The sequence below is a fragment of the Homo sapiens genome, chromosome 14, assembly GCF_000001405.40.
Source record: "Homo sapiens chromosome 14, GRCh38.p14 Primary Assembly".
NCBI classification, from domain to species: Eukaryota; Metazoa; Chordata; class Mammalia; order Primates; family Hominidae; genus Homo; species Homo sapiens.
Window position 1 is genome coordinate 76,248,810 of NC_000014.9, and position 20,275 is coordinate 76,269,084.

The 20,275-nt window shown below is 45.0% G+C and overlaps 1 long non-coding RNA gene across 1 annotated transcript in view, besides 1 other annotated feature; it reads right to left on the reverse strand.

Annotated features, from left to right (window-relative positions):
• The window catches only part of LOC105370575 (uncharacterized), an 83,107-nt gene that overhangs the window by 21,497 nt on the left and 41,335 nt on the right, over positions 1–20,275 (reverse strand). The gene's annotated exons all lie outside the window — the stretch shown is intronic.
• Positions 18,917–19,211: an enhancer, noted in NCBI's record as "tiled region #6100; HepG2 Activating non-DNase unmatched - State 24:Quies, and K562 Activating non-DNase unmatched - State 23:Low". NCBI's record gives its function as "activates a minimal TATA promoter and a strong SV40 promoter by Sharpr-MPRA in HepG2 and K562 cells {active_cell/tissue: HepG2 | K562}" and the evidence as "EXISTENCE:reporter gene assay evidence [ECO:0000049][PMID:27701403]".

The window sequence follows — 20,275 nt, forward strand, 5'->3', positions numbered from 1 at the left end:
TTTCGCCTGTCCAATGGTAAGGGTGCCTTTGGAATACAGGGAAAGAGAGGAGCCACAATTATGCAATCAAAGCCAGTGTCTCTTCCTGAAGGTCTTTTCCACCGGAAGGAAGGCGGCTCGCAAGAGTTGCTCTTGGAGCTTACTCTTGTAGAGCTGGTGACAGTTGGAAAAGGGGGAAGGAAGGGGAGGGGACATCACCATTTCCATTTTCACTCAAATGTCCTAATATCATATCTCTTCCTGTTATCTGAGTGACTCCTGTTTTGCTAAAGTGTGTTTGTTCACAGAAGGTCTTTACTTTTGTGCTTTAAAAAAAAATTTTTTTTGAGATGGAGTCTTGCTCTGTTGCCCAGACTGGAATGCAATGGCACGATCTCGGCTCACTGCAACCTCCGTCTCCTGAGTTCAAGCGATTCTCCTCCCTCAGCCTTCCGAGTAGTTGGGACTACAGGCGCCCACCACCACACGTGGCTAATTTTTGTATTTTTAGTAGAGACGGGGTTTCACCACGTTGACCAGACTGGTCTCAAACTCCTGATCTCAGGTAATCTGCCCCCTCGGCCTCCCAAAGTGCTGGGATTACAGGCGTGAGCCACCGTGCCCAGCCACCTTTGTGCTTCCTGCAGACGGAGCTTTCTACTTGTTTCTGACCACACTATTTACTGGTAAAGAATCCAAGAAAGATTATGAATTATTTAGTGTTATTGACTTCCTAAAAGGGTGAGCAGTTCATCTTCCAGAGTCCGGTAATTTTCTAAAGTGAGAGGGCAGAGTTTGTGCATGTAGAGATGTGCATATAGAATGAACTTTCAGATGTAGCGGCTGTAACACACACTGGGACCATTTATTACAAAATCAAACAGATTTTCATTTATATTTGTCACATATTCAATCAGGGCTGGAAAATGGCTGATGAGACTGGTCAGTTAGGCAAGCGCTAGTCCCAGTTCCAGACCCAGTGTTCTGATGGGCTTCTAAGGGATCTGAGACAATGAAACACACAGACAACCCAGCACTACACGTCACTTTAGCTAACAGGTTAAATTGTGTCTCTTCTTTTCCCTCCAGCCTGTTTACCCCAAGCAACGCCTCTCAGCCCTTTAACTGAAGGCATTAACAATAACATTAACATATTTTGGCCTCGTTTTCTCTCCCTATTTTGATCCATTCTTAAGTGGATATTCCAGGGGTAACGAAATAGCCAAAAGCAAAAAATCATGGGTGCTTTTCGGAGAGGAAGAGATCCTTGGAAATCTAGTAAGGGTGCCTTTCATATTGGAGTAGTCATCTGTACTTGGGCAATGTGGACTAATCCCTCACCTCCCTCCTTCTTTCTCCGCAAACCCAACTGCACCCCACAGACTGACTTACTGTGGGTCATCTTAAAGTAGAAATTATGAGTGGAGAGGGGAGAGCCCACTGGCCCATATAGCTAGTTTTGACCTTGTTTGCTTCTGGTATGTGTATGTGTGTGTGTGTGTGTGTGTGCACTTGCATGTGTATTTCTTTATTCTCTTTGCATGTACCTCTAATTGATCTTGAAAAGAAGGGACAGTTAAAGAAGACGTTAAGGTGAAATGAAGCCATAACTGCAGCTGGAGACTTTTATTAAGTGTGGCAAAGTTCCCTGGGCTGTGCTGAAATTGTTTATTGATTTTGGTATGGCTGGGTGCTCGGGAGTAATCGCCCAGAATGCCACTGGAGAGAGCGTCTTGTTAGCTTACACTCAGCATCGCCTCAACGCAGCCGTTCACTCTGGAGCTTGCCTCTTTAACCTGTAAATAAATACCCCTGGTTAACTCCTGAGGTGCCTCTGCCTGGGACCAGCGCTGCTTCTGACCTGAATATGCTCACCCCCAGCAGCATTTAAAGACTCACGGGGTTTAATTTCTTCCATTAGAAAGAGATGTCTCAAGGGGGAGCAAAAACAGGGTTAGGTTTGAGATGAAAGATGCATATCATTTTCCATCTTGAATGTGTATTTGGTTTGTTTCTCTTAGTTTCCTTTTAGTAGTAAGGTTGGAAGTTTGAAGAAACAAAGTAAATTGAGATTGTTTTCAATGATGTTTTCACTATCTCATCCCTTTGTCTTTCCTTGTGTGTTTTTAATCAGTGTCATGCCTTTGCCCATGCCTGGGTCTTCCTGGCTTTCCCACTGCTGTAACTAAGCTTTCTCTGGGGTTGCAACAGGGGCAGAGGTGGACCTGGGAACTGATCTTGTGTCTGCAGCCAGTGCTGCTCTCCAGCAAGCGATCCTGCACTGGGGCAGCTGCATGGGGAAGATGGGGTGTGCACACAGTCAAGCTCAATAGGAGGTGGGAAGAGAAGCCTGGCCCCAGGATTATCCAAGGGAGGAATTGAGTTGTAGGAAGAGAGTCAGGAAGTTTGGGTCAGCTGAAAAAAAGCTGGTTTAACCTGGGGCATCCTACTTCAAAGATAGGTAAGATTGGTATCTATTGGGGTCCCCAGGTTGACTCTGGAAGAGTCACATTCCTAAAGCTATTTCGCTTCAGAATTAGGGTTGCCAGTGATGGGGAGCCGACCATCATTTGCTTTGGTGGACTTTATTCCACATCACCCAGTGAAATGCCCTCGTGGTTGTCTATTCTTTACCTTTTGAGATCCTTCTGCAATTCCCAGGCATCATTCTTTTCAAGCTTCATGACCATGCTGCTGTCAGGCTGCTCACAATGTGGTACAATATCACTCCAAAAGTACAGATCTACAAGGCACCTGGGACCAGGGTCTTACATTGGAGTTCCAGGGAACTAGTAGCTGCTCGAAAATCACATTTCTATGAGGTGTCCCTCTAACTGTCCTTAAACAATCCCTCTAGAGATGCTGATGTCATGTCCTTTCCAAGTCCCTCTGTATTTGTCTCTTCACCCTGTCTTATGTAGTGACTATTTTCTCCTGAAATCAAGCATTAGCGTATTTCCTCTTTTCGTTCTGATCACAGTGAGTTTTTCCCGTGAGTGACACAAGAATCAGAGACATTTTGGAGAGCATTGCATTCCGAATATTTCTACAACTTCCCACCTCCCTCACCCTGAATATTGTACCAGCCTTGCCCAGTGTCTTAGGGAATGACTGTATTGCCAGGAAAGGGAGTGAAGATGAAAGACAAAGTCATAGAATCCTTGGGTTTTATCCCAAATTGCTATAGATTGTGCCTTGGCATTGCTTTTTCATGCCTCATCTTAGCTTCCAATAAGAGATTTTGTATTTGTTTCTCATCCAGCTGGTCATTGTTGGTGAAAGCTAAGGAGCAAGTAGGAGTTCTCAAGATGAAATGGATGGTAAGTTAACTTTATGATGAATGGCATTGCCCTGAAATCTCAGTAGAACCAAATTATTTCTAAACCTAAGATGGTATCTTCACCTCAAAAACTTCTCCACAGAATGACATTTTGGCAAAACAGTAGGGTTTGGACAGCCTTTGGGCCAAATTTGACTGGTATAGACGTGATTTGTATAGGTGTTTGACTTTTGTAGGTAATATTACTGAGAGTGATCATAATATCTTCTCCTGTAGAAAGTAGCACACATCTCAGGTAAAATTTTTGCATCAAGCAGACATGTATTCCAATCTCAATACCATCCTTGAACCTGATCTTGACCAAGTTTATTTAACCCTTATGAGTTAAACCTTCCTTATGTAAAATGAGGTTGTGAGAATTTACTTAGATCCTATAGACCTTGGATCAGCAAACTTTTCTGTAATTGCCAGATAGTAAATATTTAAGTCTTTGCAGATCATATTTTCCCTTATCACCACAATTCAACTCTACTGTTGTAGCAAAACAGCCGTAGATAAATGGGTAAATAAATGGGCATGACTGAGTTCCAATAAAACTTTATTTACAAACAGCCAGTGGCTGGATTTGGTTGCAGGTGGATACAGCCGACCCCTACTATAGATGAAGTATTTCGCAAATGAGTGGGCTTTCCTAGCTCTAAACATAGAGAGCTACAAACTTTAATGGACTGAAGTTCTTAATTTTAATGAAGTACCTACCTCTTCCTTGATCATAGGATCACTGGCTAACACTTAGACTATATTCAGCAAACTGGTTTGGCCAGTATGAAAAACTAAGTTTTAAACATCTTCTAAAAGCTTGCAATGGGTGTTGATCCTAAGATGCAAATCCATTCTATCTTCCTAATTTTTCCTTTTCTCCCTAAGCTTGTCTGTTGCAGACCTCATTCGGACCCTCCCTCCCACAGTCTCTAATTTGGGGTTGGGACACTTCACTCTTCCATTGCCTCCCTGGCCCATGTCTTTTAGAGAATTTTAAATTCCTGTTAGAATTTCTCAGTCTGTTGCCTCCATTGGAAAGAGTTATTTTTGACCTACCCTGACCCCGTCTTGAACAACAATAAAATGGGGATTGGGAGAAACGTGACACAAATCAATAGGTTATCCTAACAGACGTGATCTTTGAGGCTGTTTTTTCTTGGACACTCACAGCAGTAACAAAGATAAATAGCGACTCTGTTACATTGCCATCTGAGCAGTAGGTGGCTCAGCAGGTCACTGCGTGGCCTCTAGTCTGGGTGGCCAGTAGGTTTGAGCAGGATGAGAAGCAGAGGAGGGCCAGGAATCTGGCCACGAGGATAGAAAAGGAGAAGGCTCAAGGACAGGTGGTGCCTCCGTTTCTGTTGATGGTTGTTGATAACACATGGGGTTCCTTCGTGCTACTCAGCTGGCTCTGCTCACTCACCCACTTTCTCATTTATCCTCATCCCCTTAGTCTACATGCATTCAATAAGCATATAGTGAGCACCTGCTGTATACAGGGCACTGGCATGGTAAGAGAACCTGGGCATTGGTAGTGGCTCTAGTGTTTCCTTTGCCAGCTTTTGAGCAAAATGTGAGAAGTGATTGAGAATTGAGAATTGATTGCTATGGCTGATTTGAAGACCCTGGGGGAAGAGAGGGGAAAGTAACTCAATGGTTTCCTCTTCCATCTTCCCAGGGACACCAGCTGGCTGGAGAGTGGTAAAGAGCAGATGTAAGAGATGCAGGGAACTCCACTCTCTCCTCCTTGAGTTCTTGTGGTAGTTGTAGTGAAAGTGGTACTACTGGTGGTGGTAGTACTAGTGGAGGTGATACTAGTAATGATTGTTCTCTTACTGGTAGTACTAGTAGTGGTGGTACTAATAATGATGATAGTAATAGCTAACAAAAAGATTGATTGATTACCATATACAATGTATATTCTAGCTGTATTACTTCTGTTACCTCATTTAATTCTCACAGACCCATGAGACCGGTATGGTTATCATTCCCATTTTATACAAGAAGAAAAGAAGGCTGAGAGAGTTTAAGTCACTTGCTACCACATGAGTAGGTTGCGGCAGAGCTGGGACAGGCTCATCATAGCATTGATTTCATTGTGTCATGAATGCCTGTTTTCTTTTCTCTTTCCCCAATTCAGCTGTTAACTGGTTGATGGCATACACCACAATTTTTGTTGACTTTAAAAATATTGTAAAGTATAGCACATATACATTATTAAAAGAAAAACTGCAGCTGCAGCTGGGCTAGATTAAATTTAAAGGAGTTTAATTGAGCAATGAATGATTTGTGATTCGGGTAGCCCCCAGAATCACAGCAGATTCAGAGAGACTCCGGGGACGCCTCCTGGTCAGAACAAATTTATAGATCAAAATAAGGGAAGTGACATACAGAAATCAGAAGTGAGGTACAGAAACAGCTGGATTGGTTACAGGTTGGCATTTGCCTTATTTGAACACAGTTTGAACGCTCAGCAGTGTATGAGTGGTTGAAGTATGGCGGCTGGGATTGGCCAAGACTCAGCTATTGTTACAGGTGCATACTCCTAAGTTAGGTTTTCAATCCTGTCTACCTATTAAGTTAGGTCGCAGTTCATCCACAAGGACTGAAATATAGAAGTATGGAGTCCTTCTCAGACCATTTTTAGTTCACTTTAACGACATAAAACTGCACAAAACATACAGTATAAAGTGCAACGGATTATTATACAACAAAACACCTGTGTATTCATTGCCCAGACATTGCCAGCATTCCAGAAAATCCTCCCAGACCCCCTGTCAATTCTTAGCCCTCTTCTTCCCTTCCAGGAACAGCTCCCATGAACTCTAGCCCTACAGTTAGTTCTATCTATTGCTTAGATTTGTGAGATTTATCCATGTGTGACATGTAGCTGTAATTTGTGTATTTTCATTTTGGTATATGATATAGTTTGGTTGTGTGTCCCTGCCCAAATCTCATATTGAAATGTAATCCACAATATTGGAGGTGGAGCCTGGTGGGAGGTGGTTGGATCATGAGGGTGTTTCTCATGAATGATTTGGCACCATCTCTTTGGCACTGATCTCATGATAGTGAGTGACTTCTTGTAAGATCTGGTCATTTAAAAGTTCGTAGCACCTCCCCACTCACTCTCTTGCTCCTGCTTTTGCCATGTGACATGCATGCTCCCCTTTCACCTTCCGCCATGACTATAAGGTTCCTGAGGCCTCCCCAGAAGCCAAGTAGATGGCCAGTATCATGCTTTCTGTACAGCCTATGGAACCATGAGTCAATTAAACCTCTTTTCTTTATAAATTACCCAGTTTCAGGTTTTTCTTATAGTAATGCAAGAATGGCCTAATCCAGTATAGCACTACATCGTGGGAGCATACCAAATGTATTTATGTAATCTATTGTTGATGGACATTTGGATAATCTCTTGCTTTTGTTTATTATAAAGAGTACTACCATCAACACTGTTGTCCATGTCTCTTGGTCTTCCTGTACACATAGTTCTTTCTCTTGGAGAGAAACCTAGGAGTGGTCTTTCTGGGTCAAAGTATATTCCTATATTTTATAATTTACCTTCCCACCAGAAGTGTATGACAGTAACTGTTGCTTCACAGCTCACTGACACTGGGGATTGACAGGTTTTTAAGGTAATTCATTCTGACCTTAATTTGCATCTCACCAATTAGTAATGAGGTCAACAGTTTCATATGTTTACTGAATCTTTGGAATCTCCTTTTTGAAGTGCCAGTTCAAATCTCTTGCCCATTTTTATGTGTGTGTTTGCCTTTAAAAAAAAAAAAAAAAAACAACTAATCTTTGGGAGTTATGTATTCTGAATACAAATCCTATGCTGGTTACATGTTTGGCAAACAATCTTCTCTTATTATGTTGCTTGCTTTTGATTCTCTTGATAGTGTCTTTTGATGGACTGAAATTCTTAATTTTAATGAAGTTAAATTTATCTATCTCTTCCTTTATGGGTAGTGCTTTTGTGCTATCTTCTGGAAGCTTTATTGTTTTGTTTTTCTTTATAGATCTGTAGTCCACTAGGGATTGATTTTTGTATATGGCATAAGGTAGGAATCATCTTATTTTCTTTTTACCTTTCTTACTGATATTGAGTTGACCCCGTATCATTTATTCAGAAGACCATCCTTTCCCCACTGCTCTGCAATGTCACTTTTGTTGTAAATCAATAGGCCATATATGTGTGGGTCTGTTTCTGGACTCTATCTTGTTCCATTGGTCTATTTGCCTATCCTCGTGACAATTCCATACTATCTTAATTGCTGTGGAATTCCACTTGAGTCTTACTTTAATTTCATCTTTGTATCCTTCGTGCCTATCACAGTGCTTGGCACATAATATATGCAAATACTTGTTGGATGAAAGGGCCTCTAGTACTGGTTTCTGTGGATTTGCCATCATGGAAGGCCCTGTGAGGGTAGAAAGAAGGTGACTTTATTCCTCTCCCAGGATGGGGCTGGGCTTGGAGGGTGCTTTGGACCTACCAGGGTTTTGCTGGGATAGTAAGATCTGAATGTCTGCATTAGGCAAAAGGCCACGGCGGTTAGTGGAGCTGGGAAGCTGTGACAGAGATGGATGTTAGAGGTGGGACAGCAGTGGTGGAGTAGGTTAGCTGGATCCCCTTCACAATGATGATAGCATCCAGCTGTCTTCCTTGGGGGAAGGGCAGAGAACATTAATAAACTAAAGCTGTCACCAAATCTAACCTCAAAGCCTCCCATCAGCCTCCCCAACACCCACTGAGACTGCTCCTTTGCTCGGAAGGAGGACCTCGTCTCAAGCAGACTGGTGGGTCATCTCCTCCCCATCTCCCAATGGGAACCTGACAGGAATCCAATGTTTCAGAGATGACTTCCCTGATTTTGCTCTCTCCCTGTCTCTGTAGTCAGCTAAGCTTCCTTAAACACCACCTTCAAGTTGTGACTCCCCTGCCCCAACACCAACAATGAATTCTTGTCCTTTACAACGTACATTTCAAACTCCCCACTGTGGACTTGAGAAGACTTTCCATAATTTGGCCCTTCAACATTTATCCAGTTTTCCTTTTCTCCTTCAGCCACTATCCGGCTGGGTCAGCTGGCTTAGTTATCTTATTTCCCACATGGGTCGTTCCTTCTACTTAGATGCCTTTATCTTCTCTACTGATTCTTTAAAGCCCAGCCTGGGTTTTACTCCCACTCACCCGCCACGAAGCCCTTTCTGACTACTTCAGCACCCTATTCCCTCCCATCTCTGAAACCCTTGGTGTGTTCCTATCCAGTATTGAAAAGTTGCCATTTACGGTTCTCCCTTAGATTGCAGGAAAAGAAAGCTGTATTAGTCAAGTGTCCCCTGGGAGCTGTGTTAGTTACTAGCTGCCAGAGCAGATTACCACCAACCGGGTGGCTTAAGCAATAGAAATTTATTTTCTCACAGTACTGGAGGTTAAAAGCCCAAGATCAAGGCATTGGTGGGTTTAGTTTCTTCTGAGGCCTCCTTAGCTTGCATACGGCTGCCTTCTCACTGTGTCCTTGCATTGTATATTTCTGTGAGTCTCTGCTGTGTGTGCATCTAATTTCCTCTTCTTATAAGGACACCAGTCAGATTGGATTAGGGCACACCCTAATAGTCTCATGTCAACAACCTCATCCCTTCCTTAAAGGACCTATCTCCAAATACAGTCACGTTCTGCGTACTGGACATTAGGGCTTTAACACGTGAATTTGTTGAGGAGGAGGGACACCCATTTTAGCCCATAACAGTAGCCATCTCACAGTGAAGAAAGCCAAAGAGAGAATTTATCACCTCTGGCATCTGAAAAGTGGGAGTTGATCAAATTGTTACAGCCGGATCCAGGTATCACAAGTTGTCTAGGGCCTTGCTCTCTCCCTCCCTCAGCCCCATTTTCTTCAATGTTGAAATCATTCTAAGCTCCCCTTCCATTGTTGTGGCAAGATGGCTGCCACAGCCCTTGGCTCATATTTCAGCCACGGGGCTGCTCCAGGGAACAGGAGGCTTCTATCCCAATGGTACCAGGAAGAGTTCTGAGGCCAATTCTCATTGGCCCAGACTTGGTCAAGTGTTCATCACTGAACCAATCACTGAGATTCTACTGGGCCTGATTTGGCTAAGGCATCCTCCCACCTCAGAGGAAAAGTAGAGTCACCTAATCAGACCACATTGACCAAGAGGGGGGCAGTGGTCCCCCACGGAAAAGCCAAGGCATTGCCGTAGAAAGAGGACAGGATGCAGGACAAGGAAAACAAGGAATATTTATTCCAGTTACTTTCCAAGTGCATCATGCTGATCCACACTTGGCCCCAAGAGGTAGGTTTTATTATTTTCATTTTTGCAATAAAGAAATGGCGTCTCAGGGAGGGCATGTCCAGTCAAGTAACTGATAAGTTGAGATCTCGATTCAAGTACTGATCTGACTGCAAAACTCACATCCTTTCCTCCACTATACTGTCTCTCTCAGCATCTTCCATGAAGGGATTCAGCTGCTGGCATTCTCAACAACTGGCACAGCTGCAGGAAATCACAAGACCTCCACCATTATAGGGCTAGAGGCTGATTATAGTTAGCTGTGCCTTGGGCATGCTGCAGGGTGTGTTAAGCTTCAGGTGCGGAGGCTAGGGAGGCAGGTAAGGCTCAGGCTTGAGGGCAGAGGCTGTGTCAACAGAGATTCTGGGAGGAGACAGCAAAGGGCACAGGAGGAAGAAATGGAGATAGATGTAGAGATAGCAGTTCGGTAGATGTAGCAGGTGCAGTTGACTTCCTACTGCATAGCCTGGGTGTATGTGGCTCTCCTGGGGGACTCTCTTGCTAGCTCCCATTTCTGCCTTCCAAGACTGGAGTTTCACTGTATGAGTGAAGGCAGGTCCACCTGGCTCCTTCCAATCTTCTCTTTGTTCCTCTTCTTTGCAGATATCTTTCCAGACTTCCAAATACTAAAAACACTAAATTCAGAGATTGCTCAGCTCATTGTAGTAGAGTGGAGTGATTAAAAGAACAGCCTGGAGGTGGTCTGCCTAGCTGTCCACTTAGCTGCTGTGTGGCCTTGGGCAGTTATTTAACCTCTCTGGTCTTCAGTTTCTTTATGTGTAAAATGGAGCTAAACAGAGATTGACCTCATAGAACTGAGATAATCTACCAAAAGGTGTCAGGACAGTGCCCTACACACTGTATATGCTCAAAAATTAAAAATGTCAGGCATTATTGACTCAAGGCTGAAGAGCTTGGCTGGACAAGGGCTGCCCAGCTTATAGCAAAGACATTGGTGAGCAGAGGTAAGCTCGCTTTTTGTTTGGGGATGTTCCATATGCTCGATTCCGAGAGATGGTAGGTACTCTGAGGGCGAGTTTCTGGGGTCGGCAGGTCAAGGGTTACTTCTGAGTTTGCTTTCCTTGAAGCGGGCTTAGAAAAGGCTTCTCAGAAGAAGTGAGTCATAGGGATGATTTTAAGAAAGTGAAATTGCTGATTAATAGGGTGGCATGAAACTTCCAAAGCTGACCTCCATAAAAATTTAACTAGTAAAAATGGAGTAGTTTTACATCCCCCTATATTAATTGAGGGCTTCTTTGGCATAGAAATCTACATCCATTGATAACCCCAAATGCACCTTTGATTTCAGAATGCATTTATATATATTATTTGGCAGCAGATTTACTTCCTAATCATGTTTATAGCTTAAATTAATATGGAAATTAACCATGAAACCCCAGACCATTTCAAAGCACTGGATTTTACAGACCTCAAGCTACTTTAAAATAGATGTTGAAAATGTGAACTGCATTAAAAAAAGCTGATAGTATTAATTTAATTTAATCTCCATTAAAAATATCAGGAATGATTTATTGAGTTTTTAAAAGAAAAAAAAGCATAGGCTCTGTTATGGGCAGGTGCCACTTATAGATACAGGTTATTTGAATAAAAAATAATGCTTTTGTCAGATGCTAGCTTACTGCTGGATCCCAACTGGGAATAAAGTTCTGTGGGTTTCACTTTAATGATAATCTCTATGAACACATGTCTTTATGCAGAAACATTTCATATCTTTAGCAAGATAGTTCTACCTACCAGGTTTTCTCACATTCCAGATTTAGGCATGTGGGGAAGCCCCACATAATAAGCTTCAAACCATTTTTACTATGGATATGAATTTGTTCACTCACAAATAATTGCTGAACAGCCACTCTGTGCCATGCACTGTGTTACGTGTTTAATGAAAATAGTGGGTTAAGACAGCAGACAGTCCCTGCCTTTGTGGAGTTAGTAACCTAGTGAGTGAGGGAGACACAAAATAAATGACTGCAAGTGGATATATAGTAATCACTTGAGGCCAGGCCCGGTGGCTCACGCCTGTAATTCCAGCACTTTGAGAGGCTGAGGTAGGCAGATCACGAGGTCAGGAGATCGAGACCAGCCTGGCCAACATGGTGAAACCCCATCTCTACTAAAAATACAAAAATTAGCTGGGCATGGTGGCGGACACCTGTAGTCCCAGCTACTCAGGAGGCTGAGGCAGGAGAATCGCTTGAACCTGGGAGGTGGAGGTTGCAGTGAGCCGAGATTGCGCCACTGCACTCCAACCTGGTGACAGAGCGAGACTCTGTCTCAAAAAAAAAAAAAATCACTTGGGCCAGGAGCGGTGGCTCACACCTGTAATCCCAACACTTTGGAAAGCTGAGGCAAGAGGATCACTTGAGACCAGTAGTTCAAAATCAGCCTGGGCAACATAGTGAGACCTTGTCTCTATCAAAAAACCCCAAAATTAGCCTGGCCTGGTGGCATGCACCTGTAGGCCCAGCTACTCGTGAGGCTGAGGATTGCTTGCTCCCTGGAAGGCAAAGCTGCAGTGAGCTGTGATTGCCTCACTGCACTCCAGCCTGGGCAACAGAGTGAGACCCTGTCTCAAAAAAAAAAAAATCACTTGGGATAACTACTTGAGAGAGAATATGGGAGGGGACATTTAAGGGTTTGTGAGGGGTCTGGGGAGGCCTCTCCAAGGAACTGACATTGAGCCTGAGATACAAAGAAAGGTGAGGACTTTACCTATTCATTTTTACACAAAGGCAATGCACACGCACCCCCATGTCACTTTACATATGTCTATCACTTTGTGCAAACAGCACACAGTTTGCAAGAATCTTTATCATACCATGTGGCTTGCTCAGGTTAGGGGGTTGAGTGTAGCGACTTTTGGCACTTACCTTTGTATACCCTCTCCCCAACATCCCTCCCACCCCCTGAACTGGTAGATGAGGAAGCCACAGAAAGGCTGTCCCCTGGTCCTGGTCACACACCTGGTTAAGTAGCACAGCTGGGATCTGAAGGTCTCTGCCTCAATGCTTGTGTTTTTTTCTCCTATCCTACACTACAAGGCCTCTTAGAAAAGAGCTCTCCTCCCCCCAATCCTAGCAACCGCACTTACATTCCAAGGGCTTCATCGAGTGCTTCTCTGTAGGCAGCTGGAATTTCAGCTGCCTTCTTCAGTTTAGGCCAAAACAAATAGGTCTTTCTCTTTCCCGGAGGGATGCGCTGGACCAGAAGACCTGAGTTAGCTTTTTCACCCTTTGGGGCTGCCTCTGTGGTGTGTGGTCCTGACAGATGGGCAGCTTAAACGGAACAACTGTAACCAAAGCCCGGGAGTTCCTGTGGTTTCTTTAGTCTCTTTCTTCTCAGCTAGAAGCCTGCAGAGATAACTCTATCGATTCTATCCCCAGGTGGGGATGGGTGACAAAGCTGGAAGCTGAGGATAACTGGATTTGCTGGGGGCAGAGAGCAGGTCTGGGGAGTGCCAGGTGTTACCTGTAGGGCTGCCACACCTTGGTGGTGGTGGTGGTGGGGGGGGAGACAGGGTGTCCTGTGGCATTCTAAATGAATGGGTGGCATTCTAAACCCCAGGGAAGAGCAGTTTCCAGCCTTTATTCAGTTTTTCTTTTTAACTGACATTAAAAAAAAATTCAGGTATAATTATATACAGTCAAATGCACAGATCTTAAGTTCAGCACAATGGATTGTAGCAATGTATACATCTATGAAATTGCCACCTAAAAAGACATGGGACATTTTCATACCTCCAGAAAGTTCTTTTGGTTCCCCTTTCTAATCATTCCCCTGCCCCCACTGCACTGAGACAATGCTCACCGTGTTCTGACTTCTAACATCCTAGGTTAGCTTTGTCTGGTCTTAGACTTTACGTAAATGGAATCATACACTACTTATGTTTTGGGTCTGGCTTCTATCACTCACCTAATGTTTATGGGAGTCATCCAATTTGTTGCATGTGTCCAGTAGTTTGTTCCTTTTTATTGTTGAATGGAATTCCATGGTATGGATATACCACCATTTCCTTACCCAGTTTTAGTTGGTGAACATTTGGGTAGTTTCTGGTTTGGGGCTGCTATGAACATTTGTATCGGAGTCTTTCATAGACATGTGTTTTCCATTTATCTTGGGAAATACCTAGGAGTGGAATTGTTGGGTCATAGAGAAGTTGTGTTTTATGTGCCTTTATTCTAGCTTGTATCAGAAAGAGGAGCAGCAGAAAGATGGAGCCTCATCTGCGCGTGGCTTTGCTATCTTACATGATAAGCCTCAGTGGCATCCAGTGGTGTCTGATGGGCTGATTTGGAGTCATATTCCTGCCCACTTTTGGAATGAGCGGGAAGGGTCAAAAACGGACTCTTTAACTTCCTTAATGATGACCAAGTGCTCCCTTTCCCTAAGATGTCACCCCATGGGGGAATTCCCCATGATGGTGGGCGGACACTCTCTACCCCCAAGAAGGCATCAGTGGGATTTCCCATATTGGGATGGTAACAGGAAGGGGATTATATGCTGGAGAGTCAACAAAGTGACAATCCCACTACTTAGGGTCAGTTTTGAGGAATGAAAGATGTCTAACTTCTTGACAGGAGACCTCATCACTTCGTAAACCTAGCCTCAAAAATGCAGGAGCCTATTAAGCCAAGTCTTCTCTCAAGGTGATGGAGGGACAAAGACTCTCAGAGCACGGCACAATGCCTCAGCCTCTTCCACTTTGATATTTGGAAAAATAGCCATTCACTGTTATTTTTTAAAAATGCAGAATCACCCGAAGGGATACCATTTGAGTTCTGGGAGAGCTGCCTGCCGACTTCACAAAGACGTATTCCTCTCATTAATGACTGTTAGTGTAGCATCATGCAATGCTCCTGAGAAACTGCAGAAATAGTAATGACCATGTGATGGCCAAGGCTGATTGGAAGATGCTCCTGGGGAGAGATGAAGTTTGGATTTACAGCATCAGCATGAAGGAGTTGCAAGCATTGGTGTTGTAAACCGCACTGGCACCTGACACTAAATGTGGGAAAGGGATGGGGTTCCAGAAATAAAGCAAAAATACCAGGCAATGGATGCACAGTGACTGAGTTTTGGGAGAGGCATAAATGCCAAGGAGAATGGGTTGTAGGTTCTATGTTGGGGTGAGGCTATGGTGGGGTGGAAGTATGAGTGTTGAGTGAGTGAGTATCATTGTCTCAGATCCTGGAGAAAGGTCAGCCTTGCATGGCATGGAAGGGCAGGTGTTCATACAGTTGGGCATTATGCCTGGCACATCACCTATGTCAACCCATTTAACCTTCACAACAACTGGGTATAGTAGGTATTATTGTTCCCATTACGCATATGAAGAAACTGAGGTTCAGAGAGGCCCTGTAATTGCATTGTGGTCTGATTCAGATCTGGGGTTTATAGCTAGAAGTTCTAAAGGAAGCCTTAAAACACTGCCGCACCTTTTAGATCTGGATTCGTAGGAAGGGAAGGTTATTCTAAAATGCAGTGGCAGACAGAGGGCAACAGACTGTCATCACCTCTGCATCTGGATGACTCTTTATGGTCATTAGCATCTCCCAGGGCCCTCAGTGAGCAGCTTCTCAAGGCAGGTCTTCCCTGATGGCAAGAGGTGGCATGAAACCTCCTCTGCCACATGCTGGCTGCTCCCGTACAGGTGGTCCGGCTGCTGCTGGCTAAGGACAGGCAGAGGAGGGAGGATGGAGGAAAGGTGAGGGCTGGTAGGTGCTCAAGCCACCCAGGCCAAACAGTGGCAGCAGGAGCAGCAGAGAGGCCTGCATTTTGGTGGTGCCCCAGGCTGCACTGCTATTTTCACTTCAGGGGCTGTGAGCAGAGAAGATCCTTCCACCTCACTCTTCTCATTTTACATGTGCCCTGAAGAAACATCCTACCCAGAGGCTAGAACATCTCCAACTATCTAGAAGATGGCCATAATTATTTGGTTAATAGCCACCTCCACCACTGAACTTCTGCAACTTGCCTCTGATGAAGCTGTTCCAATAATTGTTCATTTCTTCACCCATTCTTTTGCTCCACCAGTATTTCCTAAGCAGCTGCTATGCCATGTGCCAGACGCTGTGCTGCTCCTGTAGTATGGTAGGCAGACACAGTCCCTGCCCTCAAGAAGCTTACAGTCTGGTGGAAAGACAGACAATTCTCTTCTGCAGCTCCCTCTCTGCCTCTGCCCCAGCACCCATGCTGGTCTCTCCCAGAGCTTACATCCCCCGGGTCCTCCCTGCAGGCCAGACACCACGATGCCAAATGCGGGCTGCTCATCAAAGACTCCATTGAGAGCTGGTCGCTGTGTGGGGAAAGCAGCAGTGTTGGCTCCGAACCTGACCTGAGGAGGCATGGCTACCGTCAGTTCTGTTGTGACAGCCCTTGACAGCAGGTGTCTGTCATCTCCCCCATTCTATCCCCTCCAACCACCCCAACGTTTTTTGCCAGCCTCAAAGTGTCACTTCCATTTGGAAGGCATAGAGGAAGCTACGTGGTGAGAGGAACCTGTCATCACTCTACTTCTTGACCAGGGTGGAGGCCAGAGGACAAGTGGCATCTGTGCTGGGACATCCTAGGAGCCTGAAGCTGCTGCTGAAAGCAGCTGGGACCCCAGGTGCCTCTGCTGCAGTCCCTCTTCTCCCTGCCTGTGCCTTTAAAGAGGGTAGTTTTCTTCCATGGACCCATCACTGGCATTCATCTTCTCAGTGTGTCACTTGGTGGAAACGACAATATTTCCCTAGGTAGGGGTAGAGTGAGGAGTGGAAGGGAATGTCCTGGCTAAGGGTTTGAGCTGCTGGAGACTGACCTTAAGGGATGAGGAAGGGAGTGAACAAAAGGTAGTGAGTTGAGGCTTTGGGGTCAGACCAGGGCTGAAATTCTAACTATGACCCAGCAATTCACTGCTGGGTGTATACCGAAGAGAAATGAAAACTTCTGTCCACACAAAGACATGTATGCAAATGTTCATGGCAGCGTTATTCATAATAGCCAAAAAGTGGAAATAACCCAAATGTCCATCAACTAATGAATGCATAAATACAATGTCGCATGTCCATACAATGGACTACTATGTACCCATAAACAGGAATGAAGTGCGGATACCTGCTACAGCATGGATGAACTTCAAAACTTTATGAACTAAGTGAAAGGAGTCAGATGCAAACCACGCAGATACATGTTGTATGCTTCCATTTATATGAAATATCCAAAAAGGCAAATCTATAGATACATGTATTAGTCCATTCTTAAATTGCTATAAAGAAATATCCGAGACTGTGTAATTTATAAAGAAAAGAGGTTTAACTGGCTCACAGCTCTGCAGGCTGTATAGGAAGTGTAGTGACTTCTGGGGAGGCCTCAGGAAATTTTCAGTCATGGTGGAAGGTGAAGGGGAAGCAGGAGGAAGAGACAGAGAAGGGGCAGGTGCCACACACTTTTAAATGACCAGATCTCATGACAACTCACTCACTATCAAGAGAACAGCACCCAAGGGAAATTCACCCCCGTGATCCAATCACCTCCCACCAGACCCCACTTCCAATGTTGGGGATTACAATTCGACATGAGATTTGGACAGGACACAGATCCAAACCATATCAATACAGAAAGTAGATTAGTGGCTGCCTGCGGCTAGAGAAGGAGGACAAGGAGAGACTACAAATAGACAAAAGATCTTTTTAAGATGATGGGAATGTTCTAGAACTAGATGGTGGCAAGGGTTGCACAGCTTTGTAAACTCACTAAAAATCATTGGAATACACTTACAATGGCTACATTTTATGATGTGTAAATTATACCTCAATAAAGCTATTTAAAAAATCTCCATTATACCACTTCCTAGCTTTGGGAAATTACTTAACTATTGAGTCTGTTTCTTCATCTATAAAATGGGGAGGATGATACCTACTTCACAGGCTCACTGTGAGAATTAGGGGCCTGATTCACAGTGAGCACTCAAGAAATGTAAATGGTAGCAGTTGGCAGTCATTACTACTGCTCCTGTCTTTTTGTTTGTTTTTGTTTTTGTGGTAGTAGAAGTGTCTTGATTTAGAAAGAGAGGAGAGGGCTGGGTACGGTGGCTCACGCCTGTAATCCCAGCACTTTGGGGGGCCGAGGCGGGTGGATCACCTGAGATCAGGAGTTTGAAACCGGCCTGGCTAACATGGTGAAACCTTGTCTCTACTAAAAATACAAAAATTAGCTGGGTGTGGTGGTGAGTGCCTGTAATCCCAGTTACTCGAGAGGCTGAGGCAGGAGAATCGCTTGAACCTGGGAGGCTGAGGTTGCAGTGAACCGAGATCTTGCCGTTGCACTCCAGCCTGGGCGACAAAGCAAGACTCCGTCTCAAAAGGGAAGGGAGGGAGGAAAGGAGAGGGGAGGGGAGGGGAGCGGAGGGGAGGGGAGGGGAAGGGAGGGGAGGGGAGGGGAGGGGAGGGGAGGGGAAGGGAAAGGAAAGGAAAGGAAAGGAAAGGAAAGGAAAGGAAAGGAAAGGAAAGGAAAGGAAAGGAAAGGAAAGGAAAGGAAAGGAAAGGGAGAGAGAGATACCAAGAGATATCAAGCATCTTAGCTACCAGGAAAATTACAGGGTTTGAGGGTTTTTGAGATGTTAACTTCACTCCTTGTACCAGGTGCATGGTTTTATTCTGTTGTTTGTTGTTTTGAGACAGTCTTGCTCTGTTGCGCAGGGGGGAGTACAGTGGCACAATCTTGGCTCACTGCAACCTCCACCTACTGGATTCAAGTGATTCTCGTGCCTCAGCCTCCCAAGTAGCTGGGACTACAGGCACGCACCACCATGCCGGGCTAATTTTTGTATTTTTTAATAGAGATGGGGGTCTCACTATGTTGCTCAGGCTGGTCTCAAACTCCGAAGCTCAAGCCATCCTTCCGCCTTGGCCTCCCAAAGTGCTGAGATTACAGGCGTGAGCCACCACGCCCGGCCCAGGTGCATGTTTTTAATGGTCTGCCTCCACAATACATTTCCTGAATGTTCTCTCTGAATGCCAAGGAGTCTGGTTAAAACAAACAAACAAACAAAACCTCCCGCCAGCCAGAGGCATAATGGAGACGTGGGGCTTCTACAGATATTCATAGCCAAGAGGAGTTGAATTATGCTGGAGAGGGAAAACATAGGGGCCACGTGGTGCCCAGTGCCCCTACTTTCTTTCTTCTTATTCCAGCTCTTCATTTTTATTCCCCAATCCTGAAATGTAGTTGGGATTTACCATGAGCCAGCGGGGGCTGAAAGAGCCCCGTTTACCTCTAGGCCCTACGTTCCTCTGGACGAGTTTCATTTCCAGGAAACTGCTCCCCTCCTGGAGACAACAGGGTTTTCAGCAGCCCCAGGTCCGCGTCCATTCAGCCTAACAACCCCAGGGGAAACGTAAATGGTAGCAGTTGGCTGTCTTTACAAATAGTTTCAACAAAATCCCCAGGGTTCATTCTCTTTAAGTTCCTGAGACCTCACGCTCCTCCTGCGCGGATCGTTGTGGCCCGGAGAACACAGCAAGCTGATTGGCCAGAGCTGGTCACGTGCCCCGGCGGGCGGGGGAGGGGGCATGTCGGGGAGCCGGGGCCGGGGGCGGTCAGCCCCACTCTACCAACATTGATAGAAAGAAAAGAGGAGGTCTTCAAGGAAAATTAGAGCTTCTTACCAGAGGAAAGAGAATAACTGTCTGGCAGATAAATCCCAGATGTCCACTCTAACCGTCCACCTTGGAACCTCCACCTTCCTGTGCTCGTCTTAGAGGAATTCTAGAACTGTCGTTGGAGGAACACCGCTGTTTTCTAGAGGTCCCACAGCCGTCCTTCTGTTCATGCGGAGTACGGGCCAGCAGCTTCATTTTCCTAAGAGCATGTTAATTCCGTTTCTCATCTGGCTCATTTTCAAAGCCATGTTTCCACACTTAATGAAAACACAGTATCTGTATTACAAATGCTTGCTAAGGAATATAACCCCAAAGACTTAACTGGCCAACTCATAAGAATTTTGATTTCAAAAAGTAATTCACATGGAGGACTGTATGGAGCGTTTACACCCGGATAGTTCCTCCGGATATTCCAGCGTGCACCCGAGGCCATGCTGGAACCACCGAAAGCTGTGTACTCTCACTATACTGCTTTGCTCCCCTAGACAACTATTCTGGGAATATGCCCTTGGCTTTTATGGAGATACGCTATAAAAAGCAGTTGTATTCGTTAGAATATTCCAGACCATGATGAGACAACAAGTAAACCTTCAATCTCAGGGGTTAAACACAGTTGGCTTAAACACAGAGGTTTAAGTGAAACGCAGGGGTTAAACACCGGTTGACTTCGTGTTCACCTCACAGTGCAAGGTGAGTCGGTGGGGGGGTCTCCTCCAGAAGAGACCCAGAGATCCAGGCTGCTCCCTGCTGGCACACAGCTGTCCCTGAGTGTTTTTCTTTCATTCCTGAGGATGAGAGGGATTTGAGGGCAAATGCGCAGAATTCCCTGGTACACTCCATTCACGGGAATTCAGCGACATGATCCCAACCTGTCCATAAGGGAGTCTGAGAAGTGTGTTCTCCCGAGTGCCTAACAAGAGAGAACAGGATGGCGGACCCACAGTGCTGGCTCTGCCACATTGGTTGTAGGAAATACACAAGCATGTTTATTATC